The 19,428-nt window shown below is 38.8% G+C and overlaps 1 protein-coding gene and 1 non-coding gene across 3 annotated transcripts in view, besides 1 other annotated feature; both read left to right on the forward strand.

Annotated features, from left to right (window-relative positions):
* The window catches only part of RTCA (RNA 3'-terminal phosphate cyclase), a 26,554-nt gene extending 11,456 nt beyond the window's left edge, over positions 1 to 15,098 (forward strand). For both annotated transcript variants that reach the window (NM_001130841.2, NM_003729.4), the window contains 3 exons: positions 7,557 to 7,651; positions 9,428 to 9,532; positions 13,732 to 15,098. In NM_001130841.2, the coding sequence (NP_001124313.1) occupies positions 7,557 to 7,651; positions 9,428 to 9,532; positions 13,732 to 13,833 (302 nt within the window). In that variant the 3' untranslated portion in view covers positions 13,834 to 15,098. The remainder of the gene's footprint in view (positions 1 to 7,556; positions 7,652 to 9,427; positions 9,533 to 13,731) is intronic.
* Positions 3,570 to 3,637, forward strand: MIR553 (microRNA 553). Its single transcript, NR_030279.1, has one exon. It is a non-coding gene; the product is annotated as a microRNA 553 (primary transcript).
* Positions 15,002 to 15,296: a silencer, noted in NCBI's record as "tiled region #14415; HepG2 Repressive non-DNase unmatched - State 16:ElonW". NCBI's record gives its function as "represses a minimal TATA promoter and a strong SV40 promoter by Sharpr-MPRA in HepG2 cells {active_cell/tissue: HepG2}" and the evidence as "EXISTENCE:reporter gene assay evidence [ECO:0000049][PMID:27701403]".

Raw genomic sequence — 19,428 nt, forward strand, 5'->3', positions numbered from 1 at the left:
GCAATAACTACATAATTATAATACCATTTTTACACCTGAAGAATTTGTTTTATTCTGACACACCAGATAGCTTCATACATAATGAATTGTTTCCAAAATATTATTTAGAGCGATGTGGAATTTTTTTTTTTGGGGGGGGGCACATAGCATTTGTTTCTCAAGTCTCTTTAGTCCCTCTTTTAATACACAATCCTCCCATTACCTTTTTTGTTGTTGTTCATTTCATGATACTGACATTTTTAAGAGTCCAGGCCATTTTCTCACAGAGTTTCCCACAATTTAAATTTGTCTGATTGTCTCATGATATATTCAGATTAAACATTTTTATTAAGAATACTACATAGGTGATTTTGTGTACATTCCACTGTATCACGGCAGGGGGCACATGATGTTAGTTTCTCCTTTATTGGTGAGGTTGAGTGTGATCACTTGGTTAAGGAGGTGTGTCCTGCAGATCTGTCTGCCATGAAAGTTCCTTTTACCTTTGTAATTAACTAGTGATCCAAGAAAATATTTTGAGGCCATCTGGTTATCCTGCACCCATAACAGCTTTCATCCAGTGGTTTTAACATCTATTGATGATTCTTCTCTGCATCAGTTATTACATTGGTGATTTCAGAATTTTGAATGTTTTTGTGAAAGGGAAATTTGTTTAAGGTTTGGTATATTAGAGAGAGAAGATACATACATGCATGTGTTTGTTAATATTTAAAGTTACTTTTACCAATCAGGCAACTTTTAGGTGAACTTCTAGTTGTTTGCGTGGTCATTGATTGCTTTATTCCTACTTTGTAGCATCTTTAAAAATGCTTACCAAGCTGGGCACAGTGGTACACAACTGTAATCCTAGCACTTTGGGAGGCTGAGGTGGGAGGATTACTGAGACCAGAAGTTCAAGACTATCCTGGGCAATGTAGTGAGACTTTGTCTTTGCAAAATAAATAAACAAATAAAAATGTTTACCCTAGCTATGCTGTTAAGCCACACTATTACTACTGAATACAAAAAAAATTAGGAATTCTTCAGTTTGCTCAGTTGGTAAATCTAGAACTAGTTGGGCATCAAATCTGATCAAGAGAATAAATAAAATCACCATTTCCAGTTGAACTCACATAAATGAATTCTGTCTAAAACTGTGCTATTCAAAATGTGGTTGGCAGACAGGCAAACTTGTCAGCATCAACTGGGAGTTCGTTAGAAATACAGATTTTGGGACCTACCTCAGACGTATTGAATTAGAATCTGTGGGAGTGGGGCCCAGGAATCCATTTTAACAAACTTTCCAGGTACTTTTAATGTATACTGAAGTTTGAGAAATAGTGATCTAAAATATGTATTTGGCATATACTAATTACATATTAGGTGCAGTGAGGAATCAGTGTGGATATTGAGCCACTGCATGCACTATCTACAACAGTCTTTAGAAGCAAAGAGAATACAAATATAAAACGGAGACTAGGAGCAGACATATTACAAGTAATAAGTACTTAGCAGGCATTGGGAGAAGTGTGAGTTTGTTTGTATTACTGGTTACCAAATGTGCCAGGTACTGTGTACTAGGGATTCAAAAGTGACAGCTATGATTCCTGCCTCCTGGGTTATTCTGGCAGAGGAAACAGACCAGTTCTATGATAGTGGTATCCCCAGGGTACCATAGGAATACAGGGGAAGCAAAGGGAATCCTTCTGGGGACTGATTGACACCAAATCTGCCTTCTGCCATTTAATGGTCCTCCAGTGGGTTCTGTGGGTAAATAGAAGTTAGCTGGATAGAAAAGTGAGAGCTAAGGAGGAAGGACAAAGAAATTTGACATACAAAAGTATTCTGGGTGAGGTGGCATGCAGCTTTAGTCCAAGCTACTCGGGAGGCTGAAGCAGGATGATTGCTTGAGCCAGGAGTTTGACAACAGCCTGGCCAACATGGCAAGATTCCATCTCTTAAAATTTTTTTTTTTTTAAGTAGCCCCATATGGTGGCTCACACCTATAGTCCCAGCTGCTCAGGAGGCTGAAGCGGGAGGATTGCTTGATCCTAAGATGTTCAAGGCTGCAATGAGCTATGATTGCACCACTGCATTCCAGTCTGGGTGACACAGTGAGACCCTGTCACCAAAAAAATAGTGTTCTGTGTTTGAGCAAGCAACTGCAAGTGGATAATAGATCTGGGTAAGGGAATGGAGAGAGATGACAACAGAAATATCGACAGGCCAGATTCTGAAAGGCTATAGGTTATATCTAGGAATTTACATTTCATCCTGAAATATAGAGCATTTAATGAGGGATGTGATATGAGAGTTTTTGAAAGATAATTCAGAGAAGTAGAAGAAAGCCATATTAGAGGCAGGAAGATAAGAGTTCATTACAATTCAGGTCAGAATGGTAAGGGCCTGTGCCAAGGAATGCTGGGCTAGAGAGGTGAATACTGATAAAAGGGTATTTGCAAAGGTGAATGGACAATATTTGCTGGCCAGTTGGGTATGGGAAGTGAGGAAGGCAGTGTAAAGTATGACCTTCTAGATGTCTGGCTTAGGTAACTGGATATATTTACCTCTTGTGAATATACGGGGTAGAGTTAGTTTGCCAGGGTAGATGATAATTTTAGATATGCTGCGTTGAGATTGATTGTAAAGGGATCATTACTTTATCAGTAATACATGGAATTTTTTTACCAGGCCTGAAAAAAATTTTCTAATGTTCTGTCAGCATTTTTTTCTCACTTTGTCACATGAAGCAACTTGTACTTTAAAGTAGTTTTTGGATAAAACACTTGTAGAGTACACAGTACTTATTTTTAGACTTAGGGTGTTAGGAGAGAATAGAGGAGAGAGCAACATGCCTGCTGAGATTGACTGACTCCTCCTGGTATCCTTCCTTGGTTCCTATCATGCACATCAGTCAAATGAGATGTTAGCAAATGCAAAAGTAACTTGTGGTCTTCTCAATCCAGCTTGTCTATATATTAAGGATCTCAGAGAGAATGTCATGACCTCTATTATCCAGATCCCCTTTCATTTCTGATTTAAATTAACTAGAAAATTACTGGATTTAGGGGCTGGGTGTGGTGGCGTATGCCTGTAATCCCAGCACTTTGGGAGGCCAAGGTGAGCAGATCACTTGAACCCAAGTGTTCAAGACCAATCTGGGCAACATGGCGAAACCCTGTCTCTACAAAAAATACAAAAATTACTTGAGCATGGTGGCATGTGCTTGTAGTCCCAGCTACTCTAAATGCTGAGGCAGGAGGCGGGAGGATCACTTGAGCCCAGGAGGTGTAGGTTGCAGTGAGCTGAGATCACACCACTGCACTCCAGCCTAGGTGATAGAGCAAGACCCTGTCTCAAAAAAATAAAACAAAACTACCAGACCTTGAATCCTAATTTCTTAGGGTTATCACCAGAAGGAACATTGGCTGCTTGTCAATACCACCATAGGTGGTAGAGGCAGGAAGTTGTAACTAGAGATGTCTTTATCATTGTCTCAGTTACTATAACCATTTTGATCTTAGTTTCCTTATATGTTGAGCAAGAAGATTAGCCTGGAGAATCTCCAAAATCCTTCTAACTATAACATTCTTCAATTTTATTTTAAAACGGTGAGATTTTGTTTTGTCTGAGAAAATCTCGCTGTTTTAGACTGAGGCAGTGTGTTATGATAGAGAGCACTAAACAGAGAGTGAGAAGACCTAAATTTTAGTCCCATGTCCTGTCATTATCATGCATAGTGACTCTGGGCTTTCCTTATCTGAAAAATGATATTGGACCGTGATTGTGATCTATGTTTAAGGATCCCTTCCAACTTTAAGTGATTGCATTATAGACAGAATGTGTTTTGTCTTTCCATTGTTGCGTATCTGTGTGATCTTTCATTACTCTTATCTTACAGTTAGTTATATTCTTTACTATGGGAGCAAAATAATCTGCTGAAATGAATTGTGCCTCTGGTTAATCAATCTTTATTTCCTTTGTATAGTAATTGCCTCACTTATAGCAAGCACCTTCCTTCCCTCCCTCAGTGTATGTGGTAATTCAGGGCATCTCTCTGTTTTTGTTTTTGTTTTTTTTTTTCGAGACGGAATCTTGCTTTGTCGCCCAGGCTAGAGTGCAATGGAGCAATCTCGGCTCACTGCAACCTCCGCCTCCTGTGTTCAAGCAATCCTCCCACCGCAGCCTCCCAAGTAGCTGGGATTACAAGTGTGTGCCACCATGCCGGCTAATTTTTGTATTTTTGGTAGAGACGGGGTTTCACAGTGTTGGCCAGGCTGGTTTCGAACTCCTGACCTCAAGTAATCTGCCTCCCAAAGTGCTGGGATTACAGGCGTGAGCCACCGTGCCGGCCTCATGGCATCTCTCTGATGTCCTAAAACAAGTCCTTGAGACCTTTGTTTAAAAACATCCAAAATGTGAGAAGATTGGCAATTAGTTAGAAAAGCATTAAGATTTCAGAAGAAATTGAGATTTTGCTTTTGGTGTGTATAATACTAATAAGCAAGATTCTCATATTTTGCTTATTATGTTCAGTTGCTACAGACTGCTAGTAATGGCAGTTAGTAATGTAGAACCATTCATGCCATTACTATCAAGGTGGCTGGGTGGAAAGGAATGTGAATGGCTCTGAGGAATTCTTTGCTACATGGCAGAAAACTTTAGTGTACCTGCTGTTTTCTAGTACTACAAAGCCGGAAGTTCTTTCCTTTTCCTTTACATCCTCCATCCCTATTTTAGCTGTTTTTCAAGGACTCACTTAAGTCCTTCATGCTTTATGAAACCTCAAATTATTCTAGAACCTATATAATCTCTTACTTTTCTGAACTCCTGTCGGGTATATAGTTTATATCACAGAGTTAGCACTTAATTATCCTCTAATTTTCTAATATATGTGTATTTTAAATGCCTCCTTAGCAAAGGATCTGGTTTCTATTACTTAGCATGGTAGATAAATAGTGGGTATGCAATACTCCTACAGGTTGAGCATTCCTAATCCAAAAATCTAAAATCTGAAATATTCCAAAATCAGAAGCTTTTCAAGTGGCAGTATGCCACAAAACTTTGTTTTATGCACAAAATCATTTAAAACATTGTATAAGGTTGCCTTCAAGCTATGTGTGTAAGGTATGTATGAACATTAATGAATTTCAGGTTTGTTTATTTATTTATTGAGATGGGAGTCTTACTCTCTTGCCCAGTCTAGAGTGGAGTGGTGCAATCTTGGCTTACTGCAACCTCTGCCTCCTGAGCTCTAGAGAGCTTCCCACCACAGACTCCCGAGTAGCTGGAATTATTAGTGTGCGCCACCATGCCTGGCTATTTTAGTAGAGACAGAGTTTCACCATGTTGGCCAGGCTAGTCTTGAACTCCTGTACTCAAGCTATCTGCCTGCCTCCACCTCCCAAAATGCTGGGATTACAGGCGTGAGCCACTGTGCTTAGCTGAATTTCATGTGTAGACTTGGGTCGCATCCCCAAGCTATCTCATTATGTATATCCAAATATTCCTTTTTTTTTTTTTTTTTTTTTTTAATTTTGAGACAGAATCTCATGTGTCACCCAGGCTGGAGTGCAGTGGCACGATCTCAGCTCACCATAACCTCCGCCTCCCGAGTTCAAGAGATTGTTGTCCCTCAGCCTCCTGAGTAGCTAAAACTACAATCGCACACAACCATGCCTGGCTAATTTTTGTATTTTTAGTATTTCACCATGTTGGCCAGTCTGGTCTCGAATTCCTCATCTCAAGTGATCTGCCCGCCTTGGCCTCCCAAAGTGCTGGGATTATAGGCATGAGCCACCATGCCTGGCTCAAATATTCCAAAATTTTTTAAAAATCCAAAATCTGAAACCTTCTAGTCCCAAGCATTTCAGATAAGGGTTACTCAACCTGTGTTATTATTAATAGCTTTTTATGTACTAGTCTGGGTAATAGATGCTTTATAAATATTATCTCTAATTTCTATAACAACTTTGCAGCATAATTATTATCATCTCCATCTTCTAGAAGAGGAAATGGCAGTGGCTAACAAGAAGTCAAGATTCACAAAACATGTTTCAAACCATTTCATTCAGTCACGTAAATACTTGGCCAATTGATAATATAAAGAGGGTAATTTATTATATTATTATGACTACTATAAAGAAAAATAGAGTTTCTGGGCATGATGGCTCATGCCTGGAATTCTAACACTTTGGGAGGCTGAAGCGGGAGGATCACTTGAGTTCAGGAGTTTGAGACCAGTCCAGGCAACGTAGTGAGACCTAGTCGCTAAAAAAAAAAAAGAAAAAAAAAAAAAAGAAAAAACAAGAAAAAACAAGAAAAACAAAGAAAAATAGAGTTAAAATTCTACAATTTCCACTTTGGGGAAAATTTTATCATATATAATCAAGTAAATTTGCAAATATAAAATAGAAACAAAACTAACCACATTTTCATTTTTCATAAGACGTTTTCATTTGCAGCCAAGAATTTTTTAGTTGAGAGTAAATACCTTAAAATAATAATGTGGCATTCTACTACTTGTGACAGACTTACTTTGTATTCAGTGTTGTACCAAAGATTTGGAATATGTATGGAGAGATAGGGAATAGGGCAAGAGGGTAAATATTCTGACTTATATTTAAAATAAGCGAATACCTGTTCAAATCTTAGAGGAAATAAAACTCTAAAATATTTTATCTGATAATGTTATATGCTCTTTTTTTACATAAAATGTAATTTCCTGACTTTAAAAAAATTCTTTAATTTTTTTTTTTTTTTTGGCAGAGTCCTGCTCTGTCACCCAGGATGGAGTACAGTGGCACAATCTCAGCTCACTGCAACCTCCACCTCCCAGGTTCAAGTGATTCTCTTGCCTCAGCCTCCTGAGCAGCTGGGATTACAGGCATGCACCACCATGCCCAGCTAAATTTTGTATTTTTAGTAGAGATGGGGTTTTGCCATTTTGGCCAGGCTGGCCTCAAACTCCTGACCTCAAGTGATCCATCCGCCTCAGCCTCCCAAAGCATTGGGATTACAGGCGTGAGCCACCGCACTGAGCCAAATTCTTTAATTCTGATGGAATTACCTGCAGACTAATTGTAACACGCATGCTTTTCTAGGATTTGGGAGGGGAATTTGTTTGTTTGGTAGATGGCGTCTAGCTATGTTGCCCAGGCCAGCCTTGAATTCCTGGCCTCAAGCAATTCTTACACCTTAGCTTCTCAAAGTCCTGGGATTACAGGCATGAGCCACCATGCCTGGCTGCAAGTTTTAATTTTTGAAATTGAGGCATAGCATTATAGGGTCATAACTTAACTTATAAACTGGCTTTATAAATTAGTACATTTTAAATAGGACTAATGAAGCCTATATTTTCCTCCACTAGTATATTTAAAGGTATAAGACTTGTGTATCCCAAACACTCAGAATATTAAATAACTAAAGATCTTATTCTAAAAGGTGCATTGAGTGGGTTTTTGAGGCCTAAAAATTGTATACCAGTGCTAATTGGGATATACCAAACTTTTTGTCTCTTAGTAATTAGTTTTGTTTTGTTTTGTTTTGTTTTGTTTTAATGTTGTGCTTATCTTAAGGTGTAAATGCAGACAAAGTTGGAATTGAAGCTGCCGAAATGCTATTAGCAAATCTTAGACATGGTGGTACTGTGGATGAGTATCTGCAAGACCAGGTAATGACACATTTAGGTTAAAAACCCTCTAACCTGTTAGATTTGAATATGTGGTAGATTGAATATCAATTTAAATAATTGACTTTCAGACACTAATTAGCAAGTCCTACTTCAATAATTTAAAAAAATATTCTGGGATTTGCATTCCTCAAATTTCAGCCCTCATTTTACTTTACGTGTCTACAGTGTTTTGCGCAATTGACCACTCCTTCCTTTTTGAAGTATTTTCTTTCCTTGGTTTCTGAAATACTGTTATCTTCCTATCTCACTGGCCATACATTCTAGTCTCCTTTGCTAGTTTATTATGGTTTTCATCTTCTCAACAACAATTTTTTTTTTTTTGGTGGAGACAGAGTCTTGCTATGTTGCCCAGGCTGGTCTCGAACTCCTGGTTTCAAGTGATCCTCCTGCTTCAGCTTCCTGAGTAGCTAGGCCTACAGGCACATGCTGTCATGCCTACCTAATTTAAAACTTTTTTTTGTTTTAATTTTTATAGAGACGAGGTCTCAGTATGTTGACCAGGCTAATCCTAAACTCTGGCACCCAAGTGATCCTCCCACTTTGGCCTCCCAGAGTTTTGAGATTAAGGGCCATGAGCCACTGTGCCTGGCCAACTTCTAAATTTTGATGAGCCCCTGGACTTTGGCTTATACTTGTTTTCTTTTTCTGTAGTTGCTCCCTCTCTTAGTTTGTCCAGTCTCATGGCTTAAGTACCGTCTTTATGCTGACAACTCCCAAATTTATATCCGAAGCCCAGGCCTTTCTCTTTAACTCCTTGCTCATAATATCCCCTATGCCTGTCAACACCTCCACTTGGACGTGTCACAGACCTCTCAAACTTAGCACGTTGCATGGCGCGGTGGCTCAAGCCTGTAATCCCAGCACTTTGGGAGGCCGAGGTGGGCGGATCACGAGGTCAAGAGATCGAGACCATCCTGGCTAACACGGTGAAACCCCGTCTCTACTGAAAAAATACAAAAAATTAGCCGGGCGTGGTGGCGGGTGCCTGTAGTCGTAGCTACTCGGGAGGCTGAGGCAGGAGAAAGGCGTGAACCTGGGAGGCGGAGTTTTGCAGTGAGCCGAGAATGCGCCACTGCACTCCAGCCTGGGTGGCAGAGCAAGACTCCGTCTCAAAAAAAAAAAAAAAAAAAAAACGAAAAACAAAAAAAACTTAGCACGTTCACTCACAGTGAGAAGTGATACTGAATATTTCCAAATATTGTTTTTATGGTCTGTTATCTTTATAGATTTTCCTTTCTACCATACTTTTGTCTCCTTAGTCCCAAATCAGTAGTGTCCACATTTAGAAATATAGTCCTCGAGATTTCTTGACCTGTTTCTTAAGACAGTTTCTGTTATTTCTAGTCTCCTCCTCCTTGCCCAGGTCTACTTTAAACTCCCAGTAAAGTCCCAGTATTAGTCTGTCTATTCAGCTGTTAAAATGTAATTTAAGAGAGTAGAATAAACATCATATTATATATACCAACTTGTAGAGATAGTTGGTCTAAGTATATTACTGTTCTGTATTTTACTTGTAAATATTAATTTAAAAAATTATATGTTGAGAGCTGCTACCAAGCCTTTTTGTACTACTCACAGACTTAGGGTAACATAGGTTTTCTGTCATCTTCTGAGTATGTCTGGAAACCTAAAGAAATAGAAATTCTGTTTTAGCAATTTTTATTTCTAGTAGTATTTTTATTATGGGCAGCAGTGGAATTATAATGCCAAATATTAATAAATGTGTGAGGTTTTTCTTTGTTCTTTTTTAAATAGCTGATTGTTTTCATGGCATTAGCCAATGGAGTTTCCAGAATAAAAACAGGACCAGTTACACTCCATACGCAAACCGCGATACATTTTGCTGAACAAATAGCAAAGGTGAGTATTCTATCAGAAAGGGAAATTGATATTTTGATTTTTATTTTAGCCAATTTTGGGTTAAATTTTAATAGGAAACTTAATAGTAATCATAATTGCTATCACTGTTTCCTGTGTGACAGGCACTGAGCTAATTTAGCAATTTATCTAAACTGTCTACTCAGCATAACTATTGTAGGTGGCTATTTATTATTATTCCCATTATAAATATGAGTAAAGTGAGGCAGAGAGATTCATTAAATTGTTCAAGGCCACATGGATTTTTAGTGGCAGAGCTGAGCTTTGAGCAAACCTGGGAAAGCATACTTCAAAACCCATGTTATAATCACTGTGTGGTACTGCCTTACAGAGTAAGTAAAGATGTTTTGTTGTGAACTATGATATCAAATCACAAGGGATTCATAGTTGGCTATAAAAAAATTTATATAAAATTTTAGACATTTTATTTTCTTGATTCTATTGGTAAAATAGAATATTTGTTGAAACTAATATTCACTGTCCTCTGAAATTTAGTAGAGTTGACGTACAGTTTTTAATGAAGAAGGATTTATCATTATATGAGCTCATATTCATACCTTTCCTACAGGATTCTTTTTTTTTTTTTTTTTGAGACAGGGTCTCACACTGTTGCCCAGGCTGGAGTGCAATGGCATGATCTCGGCTCACTGCAACTTCTGCCTCCCAGGCTCAAGTGATTCTCCTGCCTTAGCCTCCCAAGTAGCTAGGATTACAGGCACATGCCACCACACCTGGCTAATTTTTCTAATTTTTGTAGAGATGGGGTTTTGCCATGTTGCTTAGGCTGGTCTCAAACTTCATAGCTCAGGTGATCTGTCCACCTTGGCCTCCCAAAGTGTTGTGATTATAGGTGTGAGCCACTGTGCCTGGCCTGGATTGTTAATTTAAAGAAACAATAGGTATATTTCATCATGAAACTAATGTAATTTCTTTATAGGAAATAGAGGGGAAAAGCCTTCTCATAATTTCCCCTTGCCGGTAAAACCACTGTTGACATTTAGGTGTTTTCCTCTTCTCCTAAATCGTTTCTCTTTGCATTTTTTGCAGTTAATGCATACAACTTCATTTCTTGCTTATTTCAGTAACATGTAGCATATTTCCCATTTTGCTTATTCTTTATAAAGTAATTTTATAAAGAAATATAAAATTTGTAACAATTTTATAAGGGAAGTTGCTAATCTTAAGCATTTTTATTATTATTGTTTTTGAGACAGGGTCTCACACTGTTGCCCAGGCTGGATTGCAGTGGCACAAACCTCCTGGGCTCTCAAATGATCCTCCCACCGCAGCCTCCCAAGTAGCTGGGGCTACGGGAGTGTGCCACCACACCTGGCTAATTTTTTGATGTTTTGTAGAGATGGAGTCTTGCCACATTCCCAGGCTGGTCTTGAACTCCTGGGCTCAAGCAGTCCTCTGACCTCAATCTCCCAAAGCGCTAGGATTACAGGTGTAAGCCAGCATGCCCAGCCCTAGTCTTAAGCATTTTTTAAAGTGACAAAAGTAACATATATTAATTTAAAAAATTAATCATTACAGAAGTGTCCCATACACAAAACCACTGTTGCTGCCCTACTCCTATTTGTATGATGATCCTTTTTCTTTTCTTTTTTTTTTTCTTAAGATAGAGTCTTGCTCTGTTAGCCCAGGTTGGAGTGCAGTGGCACAGTCTTGGCTCACAGCAACCTCTGCCTCCCAGGTTCAAGCAATTCTCATGCCTCAGCCTCCAGAGTAGCTGGGATTACAGGCGTGTGCCACCATGTCCAGCTAATTTTTGTACTTTTTAGCAGAGACAGGGTTTCACTGTGTTAGCTAGGCTGGTCTCAAACTCCTGGCCTTACGCGATCTGCCTGCCTTGGCCTCCCAAAGTGCAGGGATTACAGGCATGAGCCACCGCGCCTGGCCTTTCTTTTTTTTTTTTCTTTTAAGAGACAGGGGCTTGCTCTGTTGCCCAGGCTAGATTACAATGGCAGTATCATAGCTCACAGTAGCCCCGAACTCCTGGGCTCAAGTGATCCTTTCACCTCAGCCTATCAAGTAGCTAGGACTGCAGCTGTGCACCACCACACCCTGCTAATTTTTTTTTTGTTTTTGTTTTTGTTTTTTGAGAGACGGGATCTCCCTGTGTTGCCCAGGCTGGTCCTGAACTCCTGGGCTCAAGTGATCCTCCCACCTCAGCTTCCCAAATGCCGTGATTACAGCTGTGAGCTACTGTGCCCAGTTTGATTCTTAATTATGTATACTTTTAATTGTTATTAAGAAACATAGATAAGTTTTTGTTAAATTGTAGGAAAGACTGATGGGAATTAAAGGCAAATTGTATTTGATGTCAAGAGTGTTAACTCTATTTTTTTTGTTACTCTACTTATGCTGTATTTATAACTATTACTTGTCTGTCTCTCCTTATAGATTGATCTCCTTAATAGCAGAGATCAGGTTTTATTCATTATATTCTTTACTTTTCACAGTACTTTACATATAGTAGATGCTTACTTGTTATTTGAAATGTATACATAACGGAAAGTGCTATGAACCTGTGTATAGCTTGTATCTTGGTCAGCTTTGTTGTGTATAACTGGGTGACTTGGGGCAAGTTTCTTATCTTTCTTTGTCTCAATGCAAATAGTTATCTGTAAAATCAGACTTAAGCTAGATAGGCCTGCTATGCTCCTTTCAGGTCTACATATTTGTAGTTTTAAGTAGGTTTATGTATAGGCTAGAAATGATTTTCATAGCTGCTACGTGTGTTTCATATTTACATAATGCTTGTAATTTGAAAAATATATAAACGCATGCATATATTACTAATTAATTAATATGGTTACCTAGCTCAGAATTCAGCATTTATTCATTCAACAGTAATTTCAAGTGTCCACTCTGTGTCAGTACATTACCATGTAATGCTGAAAGTGAAAGAATTTTTAAACATTACTATTCATTCAGTAAGGCCCCCAAGTGATGGTTTTCAAATTGTGCTTCCAAGAATCCTAAGATTTTAGGCATATTTGAAATCCTTTTGCCACAAACTTAACCTATTTAATTGTTTTGATTTTTTTTTTTAAGACGTTGATGGGAGTTGTGAGGAGTCTTCCTGTGTTGCCCAGGCCAGCCTCCTGAACTGAACTCAAATGATCCTTCCACCTCAGAATAGCTGGGATTATAGGTGTGCACCACTGCACCTGGCTAGTTGTTTTGATTCTAAATTTAGTTTTGTTAAAATGAATCACATTTGCTTTAAAAATAATGATGTTTTCAAAATACAGTGATATAGGCCAGGCACAATGACTCATGCCTGTAATCCCAGCGCTTTAGGAAGCTGACGCAGGAGGATCACTTCAGCCTAGGAGTTTGAGCCTGGGCAACAAAGTGAGACCCTGCCTATACAACAGAATTAAAAATTAGCCAGGCATGGTGGCATGTGCCTGTGGTCCCAGCTACACTGGAGGCTGAGGCAGGAGGATCCCTTGAACCCAGGAAGTTGAGGCTGCAGTGAGCCGTGTTCATGCCACTGCACTGCAGCCTGGGTGACAGAGCAAGACTCTGTCTCAAAAACAGAACAAAAACAAAAGCAAAATACAATGATACAGGTAAAATATTTCAAAGCCAACTTTAGTTACTAAGTGAAAAATGTGATGTTAAGCCCAGTACATTAAAGATGAAGGAAGATGTTAATCACCACCACCACCCCTCCTCCCCACATACCTTCTCTGAACTGGATCTTTTGAACGATATATATAGGGAACTAAATTAGCAAGAAAAAATGTAAAGAAATTAAAGGGTAATTTGTGACTTGACAAGATAAAAGTAGAAATGTTTCAGAAAAATTTTAGGGCATAGGGAATACAGTTGCATTAAAATTACCATTTGAGGTTTCAAAATTGTTATTTGCCTAAGCTGTACATCTGAGCTTTCTGATTCAGTGTGCGTGGAAGGGGCCCAGGCATATATATTTGGACAAAACTCACAGGTATGTATACCTCTGAAGAAGAACCATGGTTGTACAATGAAATGTGTTATCTTGAGGCTATTAAGTTTCTTTCTCATCAATCATTTGATCTTTGTGTCTCTGTAGGTTTTTCAATAAAATGGGCTTGACATTAACTCTCTGCCTACATAAGTTGGAGTTGTGGGCTCTTTCCTCCATCTCTCTTCGTATTACTTATATACTCCTCTTCTGATTTCAGGCTAAATTTATTGTGAAGAAATCAGAAGATGAAGAAGACGCCGCTAAAGATACTTATATTATTGAATGCCAAGGAATTGGGATGACAAATCCAAATCTATAGAGTATTTGCCTCTTAAATGATACCTCATTGATATATTGCACTATTTCATAAATACTATAAAATAATGACTAGGAAGTAACTTATTAAAGGCTATGACTTAAATTTGAAGATGAAGTACAGTGTTCTAGGTTTGCTGAGAAGGCTTCATTAAATTAATCTCACTTTGAATATCTCCTGAGAGATGGACAATGAAATATCAGTTGGTGGATATGTGTGATAGCTGATTTCAATATTGAAGTATTGAAATAAAATATTCTTTACACCTGAAGTAAATACATTTTTCTTTTTTATGTAATTAATTAAATCAGGGATATAGATTTGATCTGTAATTTGGGTATAATTCTAATCTTTGCTGAAATCACATCTCAAGTATAATGAGGCAACTTTATGCAAATGTACTTGTTGTGACAACAATAACATTTTCCTTTTTTTTTTTTTTTTTTGAGACAGTCTCGTTCTGTCACCCAGGCTGGGGTGCTGTGGTGTGATCTTGGCTCACTGCAACCTCTGCCTCCCGGGTTCAAGCAATTCTACTGCCTCAGCTTCCTGAGTAGTTGGTATTACACCACCATGCCCAGCTAATTTTTGTATTTTTAGTAGAGACAGGGTTTCACCATATTGGTCAGGCTGGTTTCGAACTCCTGACCTCGTGATCTGCCCGCCTCGGCCTCCCAAAGTGGTGGGATTACAGGCGTGAGCCAGTGCACCCGGCAACAATAACATTTAATAGGCATTGTCTCATTCTAATGATATATACCTTCTACCTAGTGGGCACTTTGTACATATTTATTTTTTATTTTATTTATTCATTTTTTTTGAGACAGAGTCTCACTCTGTCACCAAGTTGGAGTGCAGTGGCACAATCTCAGCTCACTGCAACCTCCGCCTTCCAGGTTGAAGTGATTCTCCAGCCTCAGCCTCCCGAGTAGCTGGGACTCCAGGCACGTACCACCATACCCAGATAATTTTTGCATTTTTAGTAGAGACGGGGTTTCACCATGTTGGCTAGGATGGTCTCCATCTCCTGACCTCGTGATCCGCCCACCTTGGCCTCCCAAAGTGCTGGGATTACAGGCATGAGCCACCACAGCTGGTCGTAAATATTTTTTGAATTTGAATCTGTTTTGGAAGCCAAATATGTTTTGGAAGCCAAACAATTAAGAGAAGTAAAATTTTAACCCTAGTAGGTTTCGCAGATTCATCCCCAGATATGTTTTTGTTTGGCTTGTGTTATTAACAAATAAATGAGTGTCTTTCAAATGGAATGTGCTTTCATTATTCTCTGTTATCTTACACCCAACATGCTTCCACATTTAGATGTTTTCCTGTTCCCGGTAGCAGTTGAGGTTGTGACTCAAAGGAAATCAGTTTGGTATGTCAGCTTAATGTGTTGTACTACAATAGAGTGTGTAATTCATTAAAACTTGGGTCTATCTTGGACCTTTTCTCATGATGATTAAAACATAGTCCAAAATGTAGATCCAGAGGATGCTCTATGATACATTTAGAAAGTCCTGAATTAGTCTGTATGGAACAGTAAAATGAAAAAAGTTGCCATGTACATAGTCATTATTCTTATCCTTGTCTGTGATATCTATGACCTTGGACAGTTGGGTTCAATTTGCTTTAAAGTTGATAATAGTGTTACTTGCTGTTTATGTTTTCACATAGTGGGTAAGTTTTGTAAGTTATTCATTTCTGTAATAGTTGAGATATATCTTTCTATTTTAGAGTAAAACTTTTTTAGAGTAATACTACACTTGTTGTTCGAGGGATTGTGATAAATTTGGGGGTCTTCAGACTGAAATGATTTCTGTACTTCTGATGAGGTGTGCCAGCAGTGTTAAAGGTGTAGGCTGGAGTGCAGAGATTTTGCCTCTGGGAGTGAGAGATTTAAATTCAACAGTATACACGGGGAGTTTACGATTAATCTTGGCTTAGATGTGTCACTGTTATTGAGTCTCAGCGGTAAGTCCTACAAGTGACTTGAATTTCTATTTTCCAAAAAACTTCTATTCTTATGTCTGTTCTTTATCTAAAATTCCATTTCAGTATGTTTGTTTGTTTGTTTTAAACTACCAAATGCAAGTAGTTCTGTTGATTTGACACTGTAGAACAGTCTTTTAAGAATATTCTTTAAACCAGTGGCCTTCAAACAGGGGTATTCCTACCACTTGAGTTTTACAACGCTTTTCCATGAGATTCAGGTTTTGCAGATGTCAGTGGTTTTTAGAGAATTAGTTTCCAAGTTTTGCTACTTAAATGTGTACTTTCTCCTAAAATTGAGTTGCTTAAAGTCAAGGTAGGTGTTTGAAGGTTCTTTTTAGCATCTTTTTCACAATTGCCATTCTTCCTTTTTACATAAGAAGTTTATTTTTTACCAGTCTTAGTGCATTTTCCCAGAGTTGTAAGAAAATCTCCAGGGTACCACATAAAGGGGCATTTTGAAATACTAGTCTCTGAAAAGCCCACTCAAACTAAGATATGAACCTGCATCTTATTTGTGTATTTTGCATGATTTTAAATAAGGAGGAGAAAGCTTCATTAATATGTTTATCTATTCAGTGTTTCAATAGATAAACATTACATCTTTAAACAGAATTTTCTTTTCTGATTACTAGGAGAACCATTTTTTTTTTAATTGCCAAAACGCTATTAGAATGTTTAAATCCTTTTAAACTTTGGGAGTTTACTGCTTAGTAAAAATTTCACTTCATTGCTCTCTATTCATCCCTACCATGTGCAGTGTGCTCTAGCTTCTATAATCTATCTTATATTATTGTGTAGTTTACATATTATTAATAGATATATAGATGGTGTTTTGTTTTGAGACAGTCTCAAAAGTGCTCAACAGCTGCCTATTGAATTATTAAATATGTCCTCAATAATGCTAATTTGGTGAACAATTTCATTTCCCTTTATGTTCTTCTGTCCTGGTTGTGATACTGAATTATTAATTATTAATTTTTATTTTTTTTGAGACGGAGTCTCACTCTGTTGCCAGGCTGGAGTGCAGTGGCGTAATCTTGGCTCACTGCAACCTCCGCCTCCCGGGTTCAAGTGATTCTCCTGCCTCAGCCTCCTGAGTAGCTGGCACTACAGGCGCGCACCACCACGCCCGGCTAATTTTTTTGTATTTTTAGTAGAGATGGGATTTCACCATGTTGTCCAAGATAGTCTGTATCTCTTTGCTTCGTGATCTGCCTGCCTCTGCCTCCCAATGTGCTGGGATTACAGGTGTGAGCCACCTTACCTGGCCTTAATACATCTTTTTTTTTTTTTTTTTTGAGAGGGAGTCTCGCTCTGTCACCCAGGCTGGAGTGCAGTGGCACCATCTCGGCTCACTGCAAGCTCCGCCTCCTGGATTCACGCCATTCTCCTGCCTCAGCCTCCGGAGTAGCTGGGACTACAGGCGCCCGCCCCCACGCCCGGCTAATTTTTTGTATTTTGTTTAGTAGAGATAGGGTTTCACCGTATTAGCCAGGATGGTCTGGATCTCCTGACCTCGTGATCCGCCCGTCTCGGCCTCCCAAAGTGCTGGGATTACAGGCGTGAGCCACCGTGCCCAGCCAATACATATTTTTAAGTCCCACACTTGCTTGATAAACTTTTTGCTATATGTTTCCATTGAACTCTGTGTCATTCCAGCAGTTAACAATATTTATACATGACATCTAATTTTTAAAAGCGTTAATCTCATTAAGATATTTTCAATAAGTTTTTATTTTTAGTGTTTAATATTTCAAAATGTATATTTGTTTTACTCAATTGTATAATGATATTGTAACTAAGTGTCAGAAGAAATTTTTTCATTTTTAAAAATCTTCGTTTGGGCATGGTGGCTCAAGCCTGTAATCTCAGCACTTTGGGAGGTCGAGGCAGGCAGATCACCTGAGGTCAGGAGTTCGAGACCAGTCTGGCCAACATGGCGAAACCCTGTCTCTACTAAAACTACAAAAATTAGCTGGACGTGGAACGTGCCTGTAATCCCAACTACTCGGGAGATTGAGGTAGGGAGAATTGCTTGAAGCCAGGATGCAGAGGTTGCAGTGAGCGGAGATCATGCCACTGCAGTCCAGCCTGGGTGACAGAGCAAGACTCCATCTTGGAAAAAAGAAAAAAAGGCCAGGCAGGGTGGTTTACGCATGTAATCCCAGCACTTTGGAGGGCCGAGGTGGGTGGATCACCTGAGGTCAGGAGTTTGAGACCAGCCTGGCCAACATGATGAAACCCCGTCTCTACTAAAAATACAAAAAATAGCCGGGCATGGTGGCTGGTGCCTGTAATCCCAGCTACTCAGGAGGCTGAGGCAGGAGGATAGCTTGAACCCAGGAGGCAGAGGTTGCAGTGAGCCGAGATCATGCCACTGCACTTCATCTGGGAGGCAGAGCAAGACTCCATCTCACAAAAACAAAAAACAAACAAAAAAAAACTTCACTGAACATTTTTACATAATGCAGATTAATACATAAAGATATACTAAGATAACTTTGTGGGTGAAAAAATTAGCTAGGTGACTACAATTTTAAAAAAAGATACCTTTGTGGGAGAAGTGGAAATTTTTTTTTTAATTTGAGATAATATCAAACAGCCACTCCAGTAAATACATTTGAGAGTGGTGTCATTATTTATTTAATTTTTTTGAGATAGTATTTCGCTTTATTACCCAGAGTGAGTGCATGGCATGAGTTCAAGATTCACTAGCAGCCTCGACCTCTGGGGCTCAGGTGATTTCTCCCGCCTCAGTCTCCTGAGTAGCTAGGACTACAGGCACATGCCACCACGCCCAGCTAACTTTTTGTATTTTTTTGTAGAGACGGGGTTTCGCAATGTTGGCCAGGCTGGTTTTGAACTCCTGTGTTCAAGCTGCCCGTCTTGGCCTCTCAGAGTGCTGGGATTACAGGCGTGAGCCACTGTGCCCTGCCTGATTTTATTTTAAAATGGAAATATAACATGGAAATTAGATCATTTGCTATAGCTGTTGAAACTTATGATGAAAAATTTATGTCAACTTAAAAATTTATAAGAATAATAGTGTTTTGAAATTCTTTTTAGGAGGTTTGTGACCATAATATTTGATGACAACTGCATTCAGTTATGAGAAAAGTAGAGTTGTTAATTCAGTATCCTGTTTTCCTACATTTAACACAGTGCTGTTCAATAGAATCTCTACAGTGATGGAAATGTGCTGTATCTTCACTGTCCAATAAAGAACCCACTAGCCACATGTGGCTCTCGAGCCTTGAAAAGTGTCTAGTGTAACTGAGAGAATGAATTCTAATTTTATTTAATTTTAATTTAAATAGCCACATGTATTTAGTGGCTATTGTACTCGACAGTGCAGATCTAGAAATTATTATAGATCTTTGTCTTTATTATTTTTTAATTTTACTTTTATTTTTTAAACTTTTAGGTTCAAGGGTACATGTGCAGGTTTGTTATATAGGTAAACTTGGGGCATGGGGATTTGTTGTACAGGTTATTTCACTGGCCAGGTACTAAACCTAGTAGTACCCAATAGCTATTTTTTCTGATCCTCTCCCTCCTCCCAATCTCCACCTTCAAGTAGGCCCCAGTGTGTGTTGTTCCCCTCTT

Source organism: Homo sapiens, chromosome 1 (assembly GCF_000001405.40).
Source record: "Homo sapiens chromosome 1, GRCh38.p14 Primary Assembly".
In the NCBI taxonomy this organism is placed as follows: Eukaryota; Metazoa; Chordata; class Mammalia; order Primates; family Hominidae; genus Homo; species Homo sapiens.